The 23,308-nt window shown below is 45.3% G+C and overlaps 1 protein-coding gene, 1 non-coding gene and 1 pseudogene across 10 annotated transcripts in view, besides 2 other annotated features; all 3 read right to left on the bottom strand.

Moving 5' to 3' along the window:
* Nucleotides 1-2,591: 2,591 nt before the first annotated feature.
* LDHBP1 (lactate dehydrogenase B pseudogene 1) lies at nt 2,592-3,984 on the bottom strand (annotated as a pseudogene).
* Nucleotides 4,795-5,089: an enhancer, noted in NCBI's record as "tiled region #2925; HepG2 Activating DNase matched - State 8:EnhW, and K562 Activating DNase unmatched - State 8:EnhW". NCBI's record gives its function as "activates a minimal TATA promoter and a strong SV40 promoter by Sharpr-MPRA in HepG2 and K562 cells {active_cell/tissue: HepG2 | K562}" and the evidence as "EXISTENCE:reporter gene assay evidence [ECO:0000049][PMID:27701403]".
* Nucleotides 6,042-6,541: an enhancer, noted in NCBI's record as "H3K4me1 hESC enhancer chr13:113928297-113928796 (GRCh37/hg19 assembly coordinates)". NCBI's record gives its function as "activates a minimal SCP1, AML or CMV promoter by ChIP-STARR-seq in primed H9 embryonic stem cells {active_cell/tissue: H9 hESC(primed)}" and the evidence as "EXISTENCE:reporter gene assay evidence [ECO:0000049][PMID:30033119]".
* CUL4A (cullin 4A) overlaps nt 13,415-23,308 on the bottom strand; it is a 58,916-nt gene continuing 49,022 nt past the window's right edge. For all 9 annotated transcript variants that reach the window (NM_001278513.3, NM_001278514.3, NM_001354938.2 and 6 more), the window contains exons 19-20: nt 19,764-19,916; nt 13,415-17,036 (exon numbers count right to left, since the gene is read on the bottom strand). In NM_001278513.3, the coding sequence (NP_001265442.1) occupies nt 16,941-17,036; nt 19,764-19,916 (249 nt within the window). In that variant the 3' untranslated portion in view covers nt 13,415-16,940. The remainder of the gene's footprint in view (nt 17,037-19,763; nt 19,917-23,308) is intronic.
* MIR8075 (microRNA 8075) lies at nt 17,524-17,603 on the bottom strand. The gene has a single exon (NR_107042.1). It is a non-coding gene; the product is annotated as a microRNA 8075 (primary transcript).

Genomic DNA, 23,308 nt, shown 5'->3' with positions numbered 1-23,308 from the left:
GACTGACATCTTAATATTGGGTTTGACAATAATGTGGTATACATCTCTATTTATTTTAGTCTTCAACTTTTTTTTCAACCATGTTTTGTAGTTTTCAGTTGTGTTAGATCATTTTGGCTGCTATAACAAAATACTGTACATTGGGTGACTCATAAACACTGGAAATTTATTTCCCACAGCTCTGGAGGCTGGGAAGCCCAAGATTGAGGCGCTGGCAGACTCATTGTTTGGTGAGGGCTGCTTTCTGGATCTTTGATGGTGCCTTCTTGCTGTGTCCTCGCATGGCGGAAGGGACTGGCTACTTCTCTGGGCTCTTAAAAGGGCAGGAATCCCATTCACAGATTCCACCTGCACGACCTCGTCACGTCCCAAAGGCCCTACCTCCTGATACCATCACCTTGGGGGTGAGGATTTCCACACACAAGTTTTGGGGGTACACACTAGTCTACAGCATCATATAACCATCTGAATCCACAAATGTCTCTCTAAACACGCTCTAGTGCATCGGACAAATTTTTGGTCAATTATTTTCATACTCATCAAATTCAAAACATTTTCTAATGTTCTTTGTGATTTTTCTTTGACTCGTGGATTACTGATTTACAAGTGTGTTATTTATTTAGAATTTTCTCTTTATATTAGATTTATTCAAAAATATATTGCTTAATTTTTTTTTTTTTTTTTTTTTTTTTGAGACGGAGTCTCACTCTGTCACCCAGGCTGCAGTGCAGTGGCACGATCTTGGCTCACTGCAACCTTCGCCTCCCGGGTTCAAGTGATTCTCCTGCCTCAGCCTCCTGAGTAGTTGGGACTACAGGCACGCGCCACCATGCCCAGCTAATTTTTTGTATTTTTAGTAGAGATGGGGTTTCACCATCTTGGCCAGGGTGGTCTTGAACTCCTGACTTTGTGATCCACCTGCCTTGGCCTCCCAAAGTGCTAGGATTACAGGCATGAGCCACTGCACCCAGCCTATGCTGAATTTCTAACCGTTTAGTTATTTAGTTATCTTTCTGTTAGATATCTAACCTCATTGTGGTCAGAGGATGCATTCTGTATAATTTTAATCCTTTAAATATATTAACCCTTGTTTCATGAGCCACCCGTGCTCATCCTGGTGTGTGCGGCTGTTGTTGGGTGTAATGCTACCTGACTGTCATTGTTGGGTGTAATTCTATGTGACTGCCGTTGTTGGGTGTAATGCTACGTGACTGTCGTTGGGTGTAATGCTATGTGACCGTCGTTGGGTGTAATTCTACGTGACTGTCATTGTTGGGTGTAATTCTACATGACTGTCGTTGTTGGGTATAATGCTACGTGACTGTCGTTGGGTGTAATGCTATGTGACCGTCGGGTGTAATTCTACGTGACTGTCGTTGTTGGGTGTATGCTACATGACTGTTGTTGGGTGTAATTCTATGTGACTGTCATTGTTGGGTGTATGCTATGTGACTGTTGTTGCTGGGTGTAATGCTGACTGTCGTCGTTGGGTGTAATGCTACGTGACTGTCATCGTTGGGTGTAATTCTATGTGACTGTCATTGTTGGGTGTAATGCTATGTGACTGTTGTTGGGTGTAATGCTACACGACTGTCATTGTTGAGTGTACTGATACACGACTCTCAACTGGCTCCAATTAGCAAAGAGTGTTTTTCAAGTCTTTTCTATCCCTCTTGATTTTCTGCTATCTCCTCTCAGTTACTGAAAGAAGAGGGTCAGCACTCCTGCTGTACCCATGGGTAGGCCTGTTTCCTGTTGCTCTTGTCTGCCCATCAGCTTTTGCTTTACATATTTTGAGGTCTGTGAATAGAGGCCTGCCCAGTTAGGGTTAAGTCTTGGGATGAACGTCGGTGTTTTACCGTTATGAAAGGTACCTCTTATCTCTGGTGAGATTCCTTGTCCTGAAGTCTACTTCGATCTGAATGTAGCCACTCTTATCTTTCGCATTCGTCTTCATGGTATGTCTTTCTTCATCTTCTTTCTTCTTTAGACAAGGTCTCAGCCGGGTGCCGTGGCTCACGCCTGTAATCCCAGCATTTTGGGAGGCTGAGATGGGTGGATCACTTCAGGTCAGAAGTTCGAGACCAGCCTGCCCAAATCCCATCTCTACTAAAAATACAAAAATTAGCCAGGTGTGGTGGGTGGCGGGCACTTGTAATCCCAGCTACTTGGGAGGCTGAGGCAGGAGAATTGCTTGAACCCTGGAGGCGGGAGCTGCAGTGGGCCAAGATCGCACTACTGCACTCCAGCCTGGGCAACAGAGCAAGATTCCATCTCAAGAAAAAAAAAAGGCTCTATCTTGCCCGGGCTGGAGTGCAGTGGCGTGATCTTGGCTCACAGCAATCAATCTCTGTCTCCAGGTCAAGCCATCCTCCTACCTCAGCCTCCCAGGTAGCTGGGACTATAGGTATGCACCACCATGCCTGGCTAATTCTTGTATTTTTTTGTAGAGATGGGGTCTTGCCATGTTGTCCAGGCTGGTCTCATACTCATGAGCTCAAGCAATCTGCCCGCCTCGGCCTCCCAAAGTGCTGGGACTGCAGGCGTGAGCCACCGCGCCCAGCCTTCTCTTCTTTTTGTTAAGAAGCATGCTACCATGGTTCATTTGGTTCATTGTATTTGTTCAAGGACTCGATTGCAAGCATGAAATCAAGCATGGGATTTGATTCTGTGAGCCCAAATTCACATACTGAAGAAGATAAAAGCAAACGGTGATGCATGTATATGGATGAACACTGAAGGCTCAGGGTTCATCTCACTGTGGTTTTAAATTTCTACAGCTTAGGAGTCACAGGTCTTTGAGGTCCTTTTGGATGTCCCACGGGGTATCTGCACTTTTCTTGAGCAGAACAACCTCATTATCCCTTAGCTGTGGTTGGTAACACTGTTTAATCCCTGAGCAGTGAGGGTACATGGGAGGCTCCAGAGGGCTTCATTCTTGGTGCCCTGCATCCCCTTCACTATTGTTGATACTGGGTGAGCCCTGGACAGATTTTTCAACGTGGATTCAATAAGATCAGCTACACTTCACCCAGGAGCCCAGTCGGTATATCCTTTTAGCTTGATGACCACAGGCACTTTCAACCACTATCTTATACACTTCCTTCCAAGTTTCCTGATCATCATTAGTTCCCATTTCTGGATTCAATTCCTGGAGAGAAACACCTGCCACGTTCACACTACTCCACACAGCCACACTTGAGTCACTGTGTTCTCCCCAAATCCATCCGTGGCAGAATCCAGATCACACCCACTTCCAATCACACAGTGCTTGGGTAATCCAACATATGTAAGAATGTGCACTGCATTGGAAACCTCAATTATGATGCAACCAAGCTCTCTCTGTACCAGGTTGAGATGACTGTCTCACTCTTTTGTTTTTAGACGTAGTCTCGCTCTGTTGCCCAGGCTGGAGTGCAGTGGCGTGATCTCGGCTCACTGCAACCTCTGCCTCCTGGGTTCAAGCAATTCTCCTGCCTCAGCCTCCTGAGTAGCTGGGATTACAGGAATGCGCCACAACACCTGGCTAATTTTTTTTGTATTTTTAGTAGAGATGGGGTTTCACCATATTGGCCAGGCTGGTCTCGAACTCCTGACCTTGTGATCCTCCCATTTTGGCCTCCCAAAGTGCTGGGATTACAGGTGCGAGCCCAGTGGTCACAGAGTCATCTTTATCTGCCATAATTTTAGGTGTCTGAAGAAATAAGCTGCCATCTGCAGATCCACCATGCCACCTTTACACTGATCTTCCGTAGCACGCACAAGAGCAAGCTCATCAGAGACCTTCCCAGAGGCAGAGAGCACGCGCCTCACCAGCTTCTCCAACACGCCCACAGTGATCTGCTTGTTTGGGACCTGTTGCCCCTTCTGCAGCTGGTGCAAGGAGTCTTTCCTTAAGAAATGCCCTTGTGCCCAGGAGAGAGTAGGCTCTGGAAACTGCTGTAACAGTTGTACAGAGAAGACAATGCCAGCTGCGTGCGTCTCGTGGTCTTTCTTCATCCTTTAACTCATCTGTGTCTTTATTAAAATGACTCTCTGGGCTGGGCATGGTGACGCACGCCTGTCGTCCCAGCAGTTCTGGAGGCTGAGGCAGAGGATCCACTTGAGCCCAGGAATTTGAGACCAGGCTGGGCAACACAGTGAGATGTCATCTCTACAAAATATAAACAATTGGCCAGTTGTGGTGGCGCACACTTGCTACTCAGAAGGCTGAGGTGGGAGGATTGCTGGAGCCTGGCAGATTGAAGCTGCAGTGAGCCGTGATTGTGCCACTGCACTCCAGCCTGGGTGACACAGTGAGATCCTCTCTCTTGAAATAACAGTGCCTTTGTAGTAGACAGCATATACTTTGGTCTTAATTTTCTATACAGCTTGAAAATCTTTGGCATTTAACTGGAGTGTTGTTTATGTCATTGTTACCAATAAATTAATGAGATGGTCAGGTTCAAGTCCACCCTCTTTCCATTTCCATTTGTCCTATCCGTTCTTTATTCCCTTTTAAAAGTGAATTTCCAGGCCAGGCGCGGTGGCTCACGCCTGTAATCCCAGCAATTTGGGAGGCAGAGGCAGGCAGATCACGAGGTCAAGAGTTCGAGACAAGCCTGGCCAACATGTTGAAACGCTGTCTCTACTAAAAATATAAAAATTAGCTGGGCATGATGGCGGGTACCTGTAGCCCAGCTACTCGGGATGCTGAGGCAGGAGAATTGCTTGAACCCAGGAGACAGAGGCTGCAGTGAGCCAAGATCACATGACTGCACTCCAGACTGGTGGCAGAGCAAGACTCCATCTGAAAAAAAAAAAAAAAAAGAATTTCCTGTCTGCCTTTTGTAAAACAAACATAAAATTCAAAGCCCCCTCAGACCATCTGAATGGACCGCTGTATCAGGGAGGGCATTTCCAAGGCTAACCTGAAGGGCTGGCTCCGGCCATGATGGGGGCAGGGGTCAGACATGACTCATGATACCGCCTTTTGGAATTATTGATAGAACAGACTCTTTAAGCCTCATGAGAATCTGTTCCCTCTGAAGCCTGCCACCTGGAGGCTGCATCTGCATGGTGAAAGTTTGGTCTCCACAGCCCCTTATTATAACCCAGACATTCCTTTCTGTTGATTCCAGGTCTTTAGATAATAACTCTTTCAACCAATTGCCAATCAGAAACATTTTAGATCTACCTATAACCTGGAAGCCTCCCACAGCCCCTGTTCCAGACCAAACTAACGTACATCTTACATGTATTTGATTGATGTCTCATGTCTCCCTAAAAATAAATTAGTCTGTGTCCTGACCACCCTGGGCACATGTTCTCAGGACCTCCTGAGGCTGCGTCATGAGCCATTGGTCACTCATACTTGGCTCAGAATAAATCTCTTCAAATATTTCACAGTTTGACTCTTTGTCAACACTTTGGATTGAGTGTTCTTTCAAATTATACTTTGTCTCCTCTGTTGGCTTGTTCTTTCTCTCTTTGCCTCTCTCTCTGGTATTGTTAGTGGCTGCCCCAGGGTTACCACACACATCTCTGGCTCATCACACTCACTAGACCATCTCCCCTTTCCCCCAGGGCTGTCACACACATCTCTGGCTCATCACACTCACTAGACCATCTCCCCTTTCCCCCAGGGCTGTCACACGCATCTCTAGCTCATCACACTCACCAGACCATTTCTTTCCCCATTCTTTGTGTCGTGTCATTCGTTTTACTTCTACATATGGTATTAATGCCAACATATATTATTTTTGCTTTCAACAGTTGTTTTTAAAGAAAATAATGATTGTGTAGCTAATTTGTGTGAGTGTCTACCCAAATGCTTGCAAGTGCGGGCGCTCCCCAGGCCTTCGGCAGACCCTGGCTTCTATCTGGCTTTGCTTTCCAGCAGCTGAAGCTCCTTCCTCCTGCACTTCTCCTACTAGAGGTCTCTGTCTGAAAAGGCATACTTTGCCTCCATTCAGAAATGTATGTTCACTGAATACAGACTTCCCAGCTGACAGTGTTTGCTTCAGCTCTTCACTAATGTTTCTGAAGATAAGCCACTTAGATTTGTATGGAACTGGGTTTTCCTGATGAAGAGGCACTGTGCTTGTGCGTGACTGTGACTCATTCCTCTTTGCTGGTGTGTAGTACGTGTCCTAAGCAGCTTTGTGTGTGTTCACTTGGAACCACCCCATGAGGTAAGTAGGATTATTATCTCCACTTATAAGAAAACCAAGGTTTAAAGAATTGCAGGAATTTGCTCAGGGGCACCTGGAGAGTGACAGATGGAGGACCTGGCAGAGGGGGGACCTGGCCAGTGTTAAAGCTTCTCTGCTGATCCCAGTGCCTTGAAGGTGCTGTTCATTCTGTGAAGAGTGGACTCCTGGCAGGCGTCCACTTCTCAGTACAATGCTCCCTCAACTTGTGCTGCAGTTGGCCTTGGTTCCTCCATCACGGACCACAGAAAGCCTTACCTCTGCTCGGCTGTCCGCCCCTCGGCTTCCTTAGGACCTCTGCCGGGGGAGCACACTGCGCGGGGATGTGGTTTCCCTGTTCTGTTCCCTGGGAGGAGCACGCTGCGCGGGGATGTGGTTTCCCCTGCTGTTTGGGAAACCTGCCCGCAGTTATTTCTCCTTTCCGTATGCTCAGATTCTCCCCTTTTCTCTCTTGCTTGCTCAGTTTGATGCTTGCTCAATTCTCATTACCCGAGAGCAGCTCTCCCTGGCCTCTGCCTTGCCTCCAGCTACATCTCGCCGCACCCACTACCCGTCGGGCCCAGCACACAAACTGAATGGCCCGAGATGCCACCGTGATGGTCTGTTTCTGATTCTCACCATACCTTAAAACTCCCTTCTTTTGTTCTGTCACACTCGTACTTCTCCCCATTCTTATCTTGCTGGTCTTTGTTCCTTCCACTGGCCCTGCTTCATTCACTCCTCAGTGTTTACTGAGCACTGTGCACCAGATGCTATAGACTTGGGGACAGGCTTGTGCCTAAAAACACGACTTCAGAAGCCTGACGAATGGGGGCCCAGATCACAACACACGTGCTTGAGCTTGAGACCTGTCTTAAAGAAAAAAAATTGACAACTCTCTGAGGCACTAGTTCAATTTTTTTCTTGACGGCATCTAGCGCTGTTGCCCAGGCTGGAGTGCAGTGGTGCCATCATGGCTCACTGCAGCCTTGACTTCCTGGGCTCAAGCAATCCTCCCACCTCTGCCTTCTGAGCAGCCAGGAGTATAGGCATGTGCCACCACACCTGGCTAATTTTTATATTTTTTTGTAGAGATGGGTTTTCACTATGTTGCCCAGGCTGGTCTTGAGCTCCTAGGCTCAAACAATCTGCCCACCTTGGCCTCCCAAAGGGCTGGGATTATAGGCTTGAGCCACCGCGCCCCACTGGTGTGTAATTTTAATCCTAACATCATTTGCCTGATGTGCAGGAAGTCAGTACACTGAGACACTGGGGATTGCAGCAGAGACGGAGCTTAACACCCAGAGGGGAACTGAACAAGAGACAGAGGAAGCCTTGAACGCGCCTCTCAGAGGAGTTTGGGGCTGGGGATTTTAAGGGTTTCGGAGTGGCCGAGGTGTGGGAGTTGCTGATGGGTTGAAGAGTGCAGGCTAAAATCATGGGATGGGGGGATGAAGAACCTGCATTCTCATGCCGCCTCAGCGCCCTGTGGGAGCCTTTGACTGGTTGATGTCAGCTGTTCTGCTGGAATTGAGGATCTGAAAAACATATTAAGCAATGTTTAAAGCCTTATGGTTCTAACGTCAGTGGTCCTATCTATGAGAATAATGGGGGTGCAAATGATCAGTATCCAGGGCTACAAGACTTCCAGTTACAAGGAAGTGGGCCAAAGTGCAGCCTGATTCATGCTTAGTTATGACTCCATTTCTGCCCAGAACCCGGCGTGTAATTCCTGCTAACCCATTGAGGACAGTTTGAGGTTCAAGAAGATATTCTAGAAATAAAATAAAAACAATTTTTTATTAAAAAGAAAAATAAGAAATAATATAAAAACATAAAACAATCTTTTATTAAAAAGAAAACCAAGAAACAATAATCTGATAATAGAGGCCACCAAGAGAAAAGCTAACCAGAAACAAAGATGGACAGTGAACTATGAGTGGGGAGGGGTGAGGCCAGCCCTTCTTCTCATTAGACCTTCCAGTTGGTTTACTTAGAAAGATTAGTGCTAAGGAAAGTGACAGCAAAGAAGTTGAAGGGGAAGAGGCAATGTAGAATGTCAAAAAAGAACACTTCCTGGAACAGAAGTCCGGAGTCTTCCAGTCTGAAGGCTCAGTGGGTGGCTGGCAGAGGCCAAATGAAAGTGGACACACACCGAGACACTCTTGTGAGATACCAAAAGTCCAGGAACAGAAGATTCCAAAAGTGACATGAAAGAACTACAGGTTAGTTAACAAAATGGCATCAGACTTTAGAGCTAGAAAATAGAAGACTATGGCAGTGCAATCCCTTCAAAGTTCTGAGGGAAAGTGATTTTGAGCCTAGAGTTTTTATGTAGACCAACAATCAAACACAAGTGTAAAATAAAAACAGTCCAGCCAGGATTCAGGAAATTTGTCTCCCAGGCATTCTTTCTGAGAAGATCATTTAAGAATCTACCTAATGAGGCCCGGCACAGTGGCTCACGCCTATAATCAGCACTTTGGGAGGCCGAGGTGGGTGGATCACCTGAGGTCAGAAGTTCGAGACCAGCCTGGCTTTTTCTCTACTGAAAATACAAAAATTAGCTGGGCGTGGTGGCGTGTGCCTGTAATCCCAGCTACTCAGGAGGCTGAGGCAGGTTAGGAGTTTGAGACCAGCCTGGCTAAATGGCAACACCCCATGTCTACTGAAAATACAAAAATTAGCTGGGCGTGGTGGTGTACCTGTAATCCCAGTTACTTGGGAAGCTGAGGCAGGAGAATCGCTTGAACCCAAGAAGCAGAGATTGTAGTGAGCTGAGATCGTGCCACTGCACTCTCCAGCCTGGGCAACAGAGTGAGACTGTCTCAAAAAAAAAAAAAAAAAAAGAATCTACTTAATAAAACCAGAAGACAAGAAAAAGAGAAGACTGAGATCCAAGGAGTGGAACTACACAGGAATGCAGAGAAAATGGGTTCCAGGATCACAGCTATGCAGGGGCTCAAAAGCCAAATGATGTGGCCGGAAGTAGGGGTGCATCGAATTGTGCCTGGGAATGGCCAGGGCACTCTACTCTGGCCTGGGAAACACAGTGAGACCTCGTCTCTTAAAAAAAAAGAGGCAAATGATTCATTGTATTATTATTATTATTTGTATTTTTAGTAGAGATGGGGTTTAACTATGTTAGCCAGGATGGTCTCAATCTCCTGACCTCATGATCCGCCTGCCTCGGCCTCCCAAAGTGCTGGGATTACAGGCGTGAGCCACTGCGCCCAGCTGATTCATTGTATTATTTATATTATTTTTATTTATTAATTTATTTTTTGAGACAGGGTCTCACTCTGTCGCCCAGGCTGGAGTGCAGTGGTGCGATCATAGCTCACTGCAGCCTCAACTTCACAGGCTCAAGTGATCCTGCCACCTCAGCCTCCTGAGAAGCTGGGACTACAGGCAAGCACCAGCATGCCTGGCTAATTGTTAAATTTTTTTGTAGAGCTGAGGTCTGTTATCCAGGCTGGTCTCAAACTCCTGGCCTCCAGCAATCCTTCCACCTCAGCCTCCCAAAGTACTGGGATTATAGGTGTTAGCCACCATGCCTGGCCCATAGTTCAATTTAAAAAACTATTAGGCCAGGCGCGGTGGCTCACGCCTGTAATCCCAGTACTTTTGGAGGCCACGGCAGGCGGATCACAAGGTCAGGAGTTTGAAACCAGCCTGACCAATATGGTGAAACCCCATCTCTACTAAAAATACAAAAAAAATTAGCCAGGCGTGGTGGCACACGCTTGTAATCCCAGCTTCTCAGGAGGCTGAGGCAGGAGAATTGCTTGAACCCAGGAGGCTGAGGTTGCAGTGAGCCGAGATTGCGCCACTGCACTCCCGTCTCAAAACCAAAACCAAACTACTTATCCGAGGGCCAGGTGCCGTGGCTTACAGCTGTAATCCTGTCACTTTGGGAGGCTGAGGCGTGCAGATCACTTGAGGTCAGGAGTTTGAGACCAGCCTGGACAACAGTGAAACCCTGTCTCTACTAAAAATACAAAAATTAGCCAGGTGTGGTTGCACACACCTGTAATCTCAGCTACTCCAGAGGCTAAGGCAGGAGAATCACTTGAACCTGGGAAGCGGAGGTTGCAGTGAGCTGAGATTGCACCACTGTACCCGAGCCTGAATGACAGAGTGAGCCTCCATATAAAAAAAAAAACCACGAAAACCCCAAAACAACAAGAAAACCACTATTAGAGGATTCTGATAAATGATTTTTTTTTTTTTTTTGAGACAGAGTCTCGCTCTGTCACCCAGGCTGGAGTGCAATGGTGCAATCTCGGCTCACTGCAAGCTCATCCTCCTGGGTTCAAGCGATTCTCCTGCCTCAGCCTCCCAAGTAGCTGGGACTACAGGTACGAGCCACTACGCCCAGCTAATTTTTGTATTTTTTGTAGAGATGGGGTTTCACCATGTTGGACAGGCTGGTCTGGAATTCCTGACCTCATGATCCTCCTGCCTCGGCCTCCTAGTGTTGGGATTACAGGCTTGAGCCACCGTGACCAGCTCCGAAATGTGTGTTTTAAGAAAAAAATTGGGTTTATGCAAACTGTGATAAGGAAATTATCTTAGTGATAAGACAAAAGGCATCTTTTTTTTTTTTTTTTTTTGGTCATCAGTAGCAATTAAAAACTCCAGGAAAAAAAAAAGCTGGACAAAAATGCCATAGTGCAAATATAAAGCAAGTTAAAACATGACATACATTTTCAGCTTTAATGGAATGTGGAAAGAAATAGCTTGTCTTTGATGCTTAGAATATTCTTTGAGCTGCACAAACAAAGGATTACATTTCTCTTTTTTTTGAGACAGAGTCTCGCTCTGTCGCCCAGGCTGGAGTGCAGTGGTGCGATCTTGGCTCACTGCAAGCTCTGCCCCCCAGGTTCAAGTGATTTTCCTGCCTCAGCCTCCCGAGTAGCTGGGACTACAGGCGTGCGCCACCACGCCTGGCTAATTTTTTGTTTGGTAGAGACGGGTTTCACTGTGTTAGCCAGGATGGTCTTGATCTTCTGACCTCGTGATCCGCCGCCTCGGCCTCCCAAAGTGCTGGGATTACAGGTGTGAGCCACTGTGCCTGGCCTGCCAATACAGGAGGTTTTCATGAGAAACTGAGTATATTCATGGATCGAGAGAATAGGGTTTCAATATGTCCATTACAATTACAAAGGTAACCCATAAAATAACTGATGACAACAGTGGATTAGGTTGGGAGGAGAGCGGGCGGGGAAGTGCAATTACTTTGGGTTGGCTGATTCCTTGTGTTTTATGGTAAAGAAACAACACAGTGGGTGGGGCCATTTTGTTTTCTTAATAATTTGTCATTACTTTTAAACATTCTTTTGACACAAAATTAAAAAAATACAAAATGGTATATGCATAGAAAAGATTCTCGCATACCTGCTCGCAGCCTTCCAGAACTCCATTCTGGAGTTGAGCCGTCGTTATTCACACGTACACGGGCCGCACACACAGTGGTGGCAGGACGGCACTGCTCTCTTTTCTTACGTGGTATTTCTTGACACTCACTCCAAATGGACATCTAGATCTTGGTTCAAGCTGCATGGTCAGAATATCACACATGCATGGACTTAGCACATGGTCTGTTTCCTTATTGAAGGACATTTAAGGTATTTTCTGTGTGTGCGAGAACAGTACTAGAAATCATTCTACGTGAGTGAAAGGAACTTACTGGGTCAAAGGTGTGGGCATTTTCGAATTTAATATACCCTCACAAATTTACCTGAGAGACCATCATTTCACAATGTCTCAGATCCCTCGAGCTGACCTCCCTCACCAGAGCCCACCAGCCTGTCCCCCATCACTGCTGGGCCTCTCACTCTCACATGGCCCAACTGTCACCTCTGCCCCCTCCAGCCCTTTCTGAATTCAGTCTGTTGACAAAACCTCCATCTCCTAAACGTTCTTACTAGGCGGTCCTAACACCTGCACTCCTCTTCCCCTGAACTTCCCGGGCTGCTGCACAAGGCCTGGGCCTGGCCACTGCCTGGTTTCTCCTTCCAAACCCACCACAGGGTGCCCATGCCTCCGTGGAGGGGGCAGAGGCCCGCTGCTCACTTCGTGACCCTCCCCCTGGGGCTGCATCTGGGGCGAGGCCCTCCCTTCTGCCCATTGCTGCTTCCAGGCCATGCTCCTTCCATGCTGCTGGACACCCCGGCGGGGGTGCGCCCTTCTCACTGGCTGGCCCACCTCCAGGCCTCAGGGCTGTCCTGCACTCAGGGCCTCCATCACTGGCTCCTGTCACCGTCCCTGACTGCTGGACGACCATCAGGTCTTGTCTCCCATGCTCTGGCCCCAGTTCCCCGTCTGTCCTCACCCAGACCATCATTGCCAACAGCTGCGCCCTCCAAGCTTACCTCCTAAATCTTCATGTTACATGACCCCCCCACCCTCCAGCCTAGGGCCATGGTCACCGTCACAACCAATGTCTCCCCCGGCACCACACCTATGGCCAGCCCTCACCTGCCCCCACTCCCTGTGCCCTCGATCCTGCCCTCTCCTGGGATATTAGGGCCTTGCTGCAGGACAATGCCCAGTCACCTGCCACTGAAATGCAGCTCTGCTCCTGCGACCTCTTGGAGTCATTCTCAGCCGCTGTTCATCTGTTCTTGAAAGCAGGTCTGCCCTCACGGTACCCGTTTCCTCTGCTCCCACTCTCTTAAAGCTAATGAAGAACTCACTTATCCGAAGGCTTGTTGCTGGTCTTCTTGCTGACTTCTAGTTCTGTTAACATTAAACTCATCAGTACTTTGTCGTACATTTTATCCAAGATGGTTCCAGTTTTTTTTTTTTTTTGAGATGGAGTTTTGCTCTGTCATCCAGGCTGGAGAGCAGTGGCGTGATCTCAGCTCACTGTAAGCTCCGCCTCCCGGGTTCACGCCATTCTCCTGCCTCAGCCTCCCCAGCAACTGGGACTACAGACGCCTGCCGCCACGTTGGGCTTTTTTTTTTGTATTTTCAGTACAGACGGGGTTTCACTGTGTTAGCCAGGATGGTCTCGATCTCCTGACCTCGTGATCCGCCCGCCTCAGACTCCCAAAGTGCTGGGATTACAGGGATGAGCCATGGTGCCCGGCAAGGGTTCCAGTTTTTTTAACCTTGTTTTCCCCCATGTTGACTTTAAAAGATGTCATTTAATGTCAATCCTTTTTTAAAAAAATCGATGTGAATTCACTAGATCACTTAGTGGAAAAACACAAATAAAGGGGCAACGGGTCCAAAAATCTTAGAAAGGAGGACTATATTTTTCTTTTTCTGAGTTCTATTGTACAGCATGGTGAATACAGTCAAAAATTGAGTATTGTACATTTCAAAATTGCTAAGAGTAAATTTCAGATGTTCTCACTACAAAAATGTTAAGTATTTGAGGTGATGGATGTAACTAGCTTGACTAGTCCACAATGTATGCATAATTTATAAGATCACTTTATACTCTATAAATTTATACAATAATAGTCAATTTACAAAAAAAGTATCTTATGATTATGGTTTCATATATATGTATTTTTTTACACGTAAATACTTGACCACTTGGAACTTCCCTTAGTATAAAAAGGAGTCTAATCCAACTTTTCTCTTTTCAAGGTGGCCCAAACTTCTGAGCATGGGTAGTTGTTGCAAAGTTCCAGTTCCTGATCACACACGGCCCCTTTGTGCCACGCCGAGTTCCTGTGTATTTGGCTTATTTGTGGACTTTCTTGTTCCAGGAATCTTTTTAAAGGGCCAGCATCATGCTGTTTCAATTACAATGTTCTAAAAACAGCAGAATTTAAAACAATTTGACTAGTCTGGCATATTTGCTTTTCTGTTTTAACTTTAGAATCCGCTTGTGTTTTAAAGGAAGGTTTTACATCTTAAGATACTGTATAGCAAAATGTGAGAATCAACAGAACTTTCACTTATTCAGGGCCTGTGTTCCTTAGTAATGTTATAATACCTTTCACATAGGTGTTTCCCTATTTGTTACTAGGTATTTTATCTTTTTTGGGGGTTGCTATTGAAAAAATGACTTCTGGTCAGGTGCAGTGTCTCATGCCTGTAATCCCAGCATTTGGGGAGGCTGAGGTAGGAGGTTCGCTTGAGGCCAGGAGTACAAGAACAGCCTTGGCAACATAGCAAGACACTGCCTCTATAAAAAATACAATAAAAATTATCTGGGCGTGGTGATGTACACCTGTAGGCCCAGCTACTCAGGTGGCTGAGAAGAGAGGATCGCTTGAGCCCAGAAGGTAGAGGCTGCCGTGAAACATGATCATGCCACTGCACTCCAGTCCAGGTGACAGTTAAGACCCTGTCTCTAAATAAAAATAAAAAATGACCCTCCATTATAGCCTATATTTATAGGAAAGCTACTGATGTTTTTGTTAATTTTGTGTCTGGTTAACTTGGTGAATTCTTTCTTCAGTCACAGATTTTCATTTGCTCCTTAGATGACCTGGGTATGCAACCATCTAACCTGCAAGTAATTTCACCTTCTCCTTTCCACTTTTACAGCATTTCTGTCTAAGTGCTGTTTCTTTTTCAATGATTTCTTCTATACTATTTGTTTTACCACACTGACCTTTAACAATAAAACATTAAATATTGCTAAATAAGAGAATAGATATAAATAGATTTTCCTTTCTTTTATAAAACAGAAACAGGCAGGCCGGGCATGGTGGCTCACGCCTGTAATCCCAGCACTTTGGGAGGCCAAGGCGGGCAGATCACCTGAGGTTAGGAGTTCAAGACCAGTCTGGCCAACATAGTGAAACCCCGTCTCTACAAAAATACAAATATTAGCTGGGCATGATGGCGGGTGCCTGTAATCCCAGCTACTTGGGAGACTGAGGTGGGAGAACTGCTTGAACCCAGGAGGCGGAGGGTGCAGTGAGCTGAGATTGCACCACTGCACTCCAGCTTGGGCAACAGAGCAAGACTCCACCTCAATTAAAAATAAATAAACTAAAATGGAAACAGGATCTCCCTATGGTGCTCAGGATGGTCTGGAACTCAGGCTCAAACGATCCTCCCACCTTGCCCTCCCATAGCTGGGACTACAGGCGTGAGCCACTGTGCTCAAATGAAACAAAGGCACAGCACAACGAATCGTCCAAGTAAAAAAGACCCACTTGTCACTACCTGGCCCCACTGGTATTTTGTGGTAGAGGTGGCCAGGAAAGAATAATCACTTGAGAGGGGACAGGTGCTCCCTGCTCTGACTTCTGTCTAGTGCACTAGTAGTCAAAGCTGCTAAAGAGTTATGAAGAATGTGTCATTTGCATATCACAAAGTTTTATTAATGTAATTTTAAGGCCAATTAAACTAATTTTATTCAAAGTAAGTCTACATTAAATTACAATATTAACAATCTCTAGACACAACGAACTTATAAGAAAAAAAAAATAGAAATCTGTTTGGTCTTTCTTAGACCACATATCATGGAACTCATAAATGAAAATTTTCAAAGATAGAAATGACAATTAAAGAGTGAGGATTTTAATATGGAAACCCACAAGGTGTCATATTTCAAACCCGCATGTTTCAAAAAGAGACTCTTAATAATTTAGCACAAAATCAAATTATATAAACTTGGTATATTCCAGAAAATATTGCTTTAAACACTTATGCCATGATCAAAATTCCTTTGGTAGCTTTTAATCAAAATGAAACATGCTATTATGTAAAATATAAAGTACTTTTAAATGTTATCTCAAAAGTATCTTTGTCATAGTTACCCTTCTAACATCACTACTGAACTTTCCTTTCACTGTTCAACCTCATGTATATATACACAACACAAAACCAGGTACCAACAAAATCCTTTTAATCTTTCCACAAAATAACCTCTGCTTCACAACATCAAGACTTTAAGTCTCCATAAACTTTTTACAGTTTACAGCAGAGAACAAGGATCGTCCCTGCGCATGACTGTAAAAACCAAACCAAACTTTATTATTGCAATCACACAAATACTGCAATTAAAAAAAATCAAAGAGCAGTTACCCCAATGCAAAAAAACAGGGACTGCCAGACTCAATCTTAGAATGGAAACACAAACACACTAGCCCCAAACCCTAAAACAGAGATTCACAAGGAACTCAGCTGACGAACAGACGCAGCAGGGCGGACACCATGGCCTTGGCACCTCAGGGAGCTCACTTAGAAACCTGACTTACGAAAAATCAGCCATCAAAGTTTACAACTTTTGGAAATACATGAAACAGAGAGGGGCCAGTGGCTAGGGTGCGTCATCCATTCGCCAGCTTTGAACCCTGGCTCTTTCTAATGTTCACCCATGAAGGGCCCTTGTTTTCACTCTAAATGCTGATCATCTGAGCGAGCTGTCTTCAGGGATACCTAAGGAATCTTCAGAGCTAAAAAATGCAGCATCTAGGGTCTTCTTCATTGTGCACTCATGATCACACACGAGAACAAACCAAACTTGCAGCTTTTTGACACAAGAACAAGACCTTTTAAAGGAACTTCTCTTTAGTAACATCTTCTTGTCCAATCTCAAAGTTATTTTGCACAGAGTAACAGAAACAATTTAAATGCCTAAAAGAACTAGAGGAAAAACTGGAGGGAAAAAGATACATCTGCAGGTTGAAGTCTTGAGCCTTGTGAAAGATGACCCAGGAGCCACCTCCCTTCCTTCGCCTTCCAATGTCCACAGCTGGATCAATCAGAGTCCCAGAAATGGCACAGGTGTGCTTCCTGCTCTGAGGGTACATTCTAGTGTTTCATGAAGGGGAACCGTCTGCAGATGCGTCAGGCCACGTAGTGGTACTGATTCGGATTGTCTTTGTCTCTCTCCATATAGTCTCTGTCTATCAGAGATTCAATTCTCTTTTTCAAATCTCCAGGCTAAAAAAGAAGAATAAAACCCCCCTAATTACAATGGCATTAAATTTACAAACATTTACATACAAGGGGTATATGCATGAAGTATGTAACTATACTTATAGAAATATATATACAAATAGATATTTATATGAAAATCATTTATAATTATACACATATTTATGAAATGAACAAAACTTTCTATTTTAAAGACAAAGTTAACGTTATCTCTTGATAAAAAAAGCGTCCATGTGAGTTTATGGTCAGAGTGTGGTTTCCTGAGGGAAACGTGAAACTTGTGAAATGTACATACATCATCTGCCATCAGTAAGGGCACGTATAAGCGAGGCAGATCCGACATCTGCCATCAGCAAGGGCACGTATAAGTGAGGCAGACCCGACATCTGCCATCAGCAAGGGCACGTATAAGCGAGGCAGACCCGACATCTGCCATCAGCAAGGGCACGTATAAGCGAGGCAGACCCGACATCTGCCATCAGCAAGGGCACGTATAAGCGAGGCAGACCCGACATCTGCCATCAGCAAGGGCACGTATAAGCGAGGCAGATCCGACATCTGCCATCAGCAAGGGCACGTATAAGCGAGGCAGATCCGACATCTGCCATCAGCAAGGGCACGTATAAGCGAGGCAGATCCGACATCTGCCATCAGCAAGGGCACGTATAAGCGAGGCAGATCCGACATCTGCCATCAGCAAGGGCACGTATAAGTGAGGCAGACCCGATCACGTGACACATTTTTATTTGAAAGGAAAATCTCAACATGTCTTACTGGGGCAACTTTTATCCTTTGAAAGGATGCTTCTGCCTAAGTAGTGTATTTTATTTTGTTTATTTATTTTGAGATGGGGTCTCATTTTGTCGCCCAGGCTGGAGTGCAGTGGTGCGATCTCAGCTCACTGCAGCCTCCACCTCCTGGACTCAAGCAATCTTCGTGCTTCAGCCTCCCCAGTAGCTGGGATCACAGGCTGCACACCACCATGCCTGGCTAATTTTATTTTTTGTAGAGAAGGGGTCTCACTATGTTGCCCAGGCTGGTCTCAAATTCCTGGGCTCAATCAATCCGCCTGCCTCAGCTCCCAAAGTGCTGGGATCGCTGGCGTGAGGCAGTGCGCCTGGCCTGTAGTTTTATTCTCGTGTATTTACATAGTTATTGCATGCCATGTCCACGTAAGTGAAACTACAATCCCCAGTGTTCCTGCACTAAGAGTAGGTGACTGAGGAGACGAATCCACAGCCACAGCCTGTCTCTGCCCAGAGGGAACAGCCACTCCAGCTCTGCTGTATTAGGAAGAAAATCTGTGTGAGCACTTACGTGCAAGGCTCTCCCTATACAAGGGAGACCCTCTATTTTCCAAACAAACTTCACCTTCTATTCAGTGATAAGCCACACATTTTACAAGATGTGGCTGAGGCTGGGCGCGGTGGCTCACGCCTGTAATCCCAGCACTTTGGGAGGTTGAGGCAGGCGGATCACGAGGTCAGGAGTTTGAGACCAGCCTGACCACACGGTAAAACCCTGTCTCTACTAAAAATACAAAAATTAGCTGGGTGTGGTGGCGCGTGCCTGTAAGCCCAGCTACTCAGGAGGCTGAGGCAGGAGAACTGCTTGAACCCGAGAGGCAGAGGTTACAGTGAGCCGAGATCGTGCCACTGCACTCCATCCTGGGGGACAGCAAGACTCCATCTCAAAGAAAAAAAAAACCCAACTACCCGAGAGCAGAGCGGGCGCCCTGGTCTGCCACACTCTACCCCTGAGAGCAGAGTGGGCGCCCTGGTCTGCCACTCTCTACCCGAGAGCAGAGCAGGTGCCCTGGTCTGCCACACTCCACTCTTGCTCACCTCTGCTTCGCGCTGGGCCTGATTGTTTGCAGTGGCAACAGGAGACTTGCTCCAGCTGGTGGGAGGAAGGGGCAGTGAACCTGATGGTGCTTTTGGAGCTTCCCAGGGCCCTGAGGACGGCACCTCACCTCTGCAGGGAAGGGGGCAAATGTGGGCTGATGGACAGTGGCACTTCCACCAGACTCTTAAGTGTTCGACTATTTAGTGCATCTCAACTTTATTCCCTTGATGGAATGGGAGGCTCAAACTGCACAACATGGAATCTGGGGACTTTCCCTCCAAAGCACGTGTGGCCGGTCCTGTCCCTGAGAGGCCAGGCGTCATCAGAGTTCAGTATTTCCTGGGTTGATAAATACATGTAAAAAACGTTTCATAATACTTTCCCGGCTTATCCTGCATCCCACACGTGGCAGGACAGTAAATCTCAGTTCTGAAAACAACGCGGGTTGACAGGCCTGGGCTGACTTTCATAAGCAACAGCAACAGTAGACTATTACCGTGGTGGAAAACGCGGTGTAGGCTGTAAACGCTGAGTAAGTTAGTTATTGTTATCATTTCCTTAAAATCTTGTGATGTAACCTTGACCGCTACTACTATGAGAAAAGTGTTCAGCTTTCCATGTCCCATCTACCTCTTCCCTTCCTGAAAATATGAACAAGCGCGCACCATCCCTGGGAAGGAGAGTTTTAGGGCTCTATCATTTCTGCAGTGGCAATGAGCAACACCTGGAATAAAGAGCTTCACATTTGCCAGTTTTTCTACATTCAGTGTATACACAAAGCACCATGAATAATGCAGGTCAAATGATATGACTGAACATAGAATTAAACATGCTTTGTCAATTGTTTAGCAAATACTACAAATTTAATTATGCTAATGTTACATTTACCTTTACTGGAAATTTCAGCTGATTATATAATTCAGAAACTAGAAGATTATGACCAAGAGTCTTTCTCATCTTCATTATTCTGACGATAGCAGCATCAATCTGATATTGTCTATCCTGAAACACTCTCTCAGTGGTGCTAACCTGTTCCTCAACCTGTATAAAAAAGAAAAAAAAAGTTAAGTGTAAAACTGTATTTTCTTTTTATTTTTTGCGATGGAGTCTCACTCAGTTGCCTGGGCTAGAGTGCAATGGTGTGATCTCGGCTCACTGCAACCTCCGCCTCCCAGGATCAAGCGATTCTCTTGCCTCAGCCTCCCGAGTAGCTGGGATCACAGGCACCTGCTGTCATGCCCGGCTACTTTTTGTATTTTTGTACAGGCAGGGTTTCACTATGTTGGCCAGGCTGGTTTTGAACTCCTGACCTCAGATGATCCGCCCACCTTGGCCTCCCAAAGTGCTGGGATTACAGGTGTGAGCTACCACACCTGGCCTATATTTCAATATTAATGACCTGATGTTACCGAATTTGATGGGAAATGGTTTTTTTTTTTTTTTTGAGACGGAGTCTCACTCTGTCACCCAGGCTGGAGTGCAGTGGCGCGATCTCGGCTCACTACAAGCTCCGCCCCCCGGGTTCACGCCATTCTCCTGTCTCAGCCTCTCAAGTAGCTGGGACTACGGTGCCCCCCCACCATGCCCGGCTCATTTTTGTATTTTTAGTAGAGACAGGGTTTCACCATGTTAGCCAGGCTGGTCTCGATCTCCTGACCTCGTGATCCACCTGGCTCGGCCTCCCAAAGTGCTGGGATTACAGGCGTGAGCCACCGTGCCTGGCCGGAAATGTTCTTTTGATGCAAAGAAAGGTCAGACATTGGATGAATCCTACTTTATTATGCATGTTTACTTGTTGTAGTAAAAGGTACCTTCCCAGAATAGCAAAACTCCAAAACCAAAACTTAAAAAATATTTTTAAAAGTTATTTTCCTTATAAGAAAGCTGCAACAACTCTATGTGTGATGTAGATTAAAACTAGCAGCACAGTAAACAAAACATAATGACCATCAGGATATATTCCAGAAATGTTAAGTGTTGATCAACATTAGGAAATCTGTGAATATAAGTGAGAGCACTGTAGCAGTTGAAAGGTTAGATTACATGACCATCTTGATAGATGCTGAAAAGGCATGATAAAATTGATTTTTTGATTTAAAACAAACATTAGCATACAAGGATGAATAAAAAAGCATCTGAACATGATAAAACATGGTTATCAGAAACAAACAGCAAATACTAGAGACAACTTAACCTTAGTCCAACAGGAACCTGATGGGGATCTGCAGTTGAAATGAGGGCTGGGGGAAGGTCTGTGCATACATATGAGGCAAGTATGCTTCAGGATGGGAGAGACTCCAAGCTTTCATCACATTTTCAACAGGATCCATGACCCCCAAAAAGTTAACATCCTCTGAACTAGAGATAAAATTAGGAAGCTCAGCTGCACTGCTATTCCTTAAAAACATTACTTTAGAGGTTCTAACTATGCAATACAGGAACAGACTAAAGAGGTATATTGAAAAGGTGCAGACAAAACGATCATTATTTGTAGATGAGCTGGAAAATCCAAGAAAATCAACAGAAAAACTTTCAAAGCTAAAGAGTTTTGTAAAGTGGCTGGAAATAAAATAAATATACAAAGACAAATAGCATTAATACATACATTCTGATAAAAACCGTCAGAAATGTAAAGAAAAAAGGTCCCCTTTATAAGATATCAGCATTTCATTAGCCTGTCTTGCTTAAAACTCTAGTGGTTTTCCAAATGCTTCATGGATCTGAGCCATCTTCAGAGGGTCCAGCTGTGGCTCCCTGATCAGGCCTGTCTGGCTCAGCTTCCCCTTTTGGCAACGATGCTGCAGCCAGAGGCCTTCTTTCAGTTCCTGAGCAAAGCTAGTCACTTCTTCAGGAAAGCGTTGGCTGACGACAGTATTTAATTAGACTCTCCTGCACTTCTCTATCCTAACATTTTCCTCCACTCTTACAAGTTAGTCAATGTGTGTGATCCTCTGCTACCTCTCTGCTGGAAAAGACTGAACACTCCTAGAAACAAGGACTTATTCTTTATTGTTAATGGATGAATTCTCAGTGCTTCACAGAGGACCTGGGCCACCACAGATGCTCAATAAGTATTTGTTGAATGAATGAAAATTTATGACTAGCAAGAAATATGCAAGACTTACAGAAGAAAACTAGAAAGCTCTGAGAAAAAGATTTGTATGTATTTACATATATACACATATGTATGAATCACAAGATTTAATATGATAAAGATAAAAGCTCTGTAAATTAATGCAATATGGATTAAAAATGTCAATGTTCTTATTTGGGGGAGCAAAGGCGTGATACAATTATTGTCAAGTTCATTGGAAGAATAAAGTTATAGGAATAGCTACATTAATTAAAAGAACCTGGTGCCGGGCACGGTGGCTCACGGCTGTAATCCCAGCACTTTGGGGGGTCAAGGTAGGAAGACTGCTTGAGCCCAGGAGTTCAAGACCAGCCTGGGTAACATGGCAAGGCCTCATCTCTACAAAAAATACAAAAATTTAGCTGGGCGTGGTGGCATATGCCTGGGGCTGAGGTGGGAGGATCGCTTGAGCCCAAGAGGTTGAGGCTGCAGTGAGCTATGATCACACCACTGCACTCCAGCCTGGGCGACACTGTCTCAAAAAACAAAACAAAACAAAACAAAAAAAATGGCTGGCTATGAAATAGACACAGAATTTATAGAAGAGAATTGAGAAACTGACCTATATGAATTTGATACATAATAAGGTGATAATTCAAATAACTTGTTCAAGGATGATATTTTAAATTTGGTTTTGGAAAGGATGGGGGCAGTTAGACTGTTTTCAGATACTAAAATAATTTCTGCAACATGAAAAGAAAGATTTAAATGTAAAAACTTCTAGAAAAATAACATAGTATAAATGTTTTTTAAAACTCTGGTTAAGGGAATTTCTCTCTTAGGCCAATGATATGGTTTTGAATATGTGTCCCCTCAAAATCTCATGCTGAAATGTGGTCTCCAGTGTTGGAGATGGGACCGGGTGGGTGGGGGCAGGTCCCTCATGAATGGCTTGGGCCCTCCCCTTGGTGATGAGATCTGGTCGTTTAAACATGTGGGGCACCTCCCTCCCTGTTCTTGCTCATGCTTTTGCCACGTGAGACACCTGCTCCCCTTGCACCTTCCACCATGACTGGAAACTTCCTGAGGCCTCGTCAGAAGCTGAGGTGATGCTGGCACCATGCTTCCTGTACAGCCTGCAGAACCGTGAGCCAATTAAACTTCTCTTCTTTATAAATTACCCAGTTTCAGGTATTTCCTTATAGTAATACAAGAATGGCCTAATACAGCATTACACGTTAAGTCAGAAACCATAAAAGAAAAGGAGACTATATTTGAGAACTTAAAAACTGTTATGTGAAAAAAAAACCAATAAAAACAACAAAATTATCTGTCAAAAATGACAAAGCAGGCTGGGCAT

Source organism: Homo sapiens, chromosome 13 (genome assembly GCF_000001405.40).
Source record: "Homo sapiens chromosome 13, GRCh38.p14 Primary Assembly".
In the NCBI taxonomy this organism is placed as follows: domain Eukaryota; kingdom Metazoa; phylum Chordata; class Mammalia; order Primates; family Hominidae; genus Homo; species Homo sapiens.
This window is presented reverse-complemented; position numbering and strand designations above follow the sequence as displayed.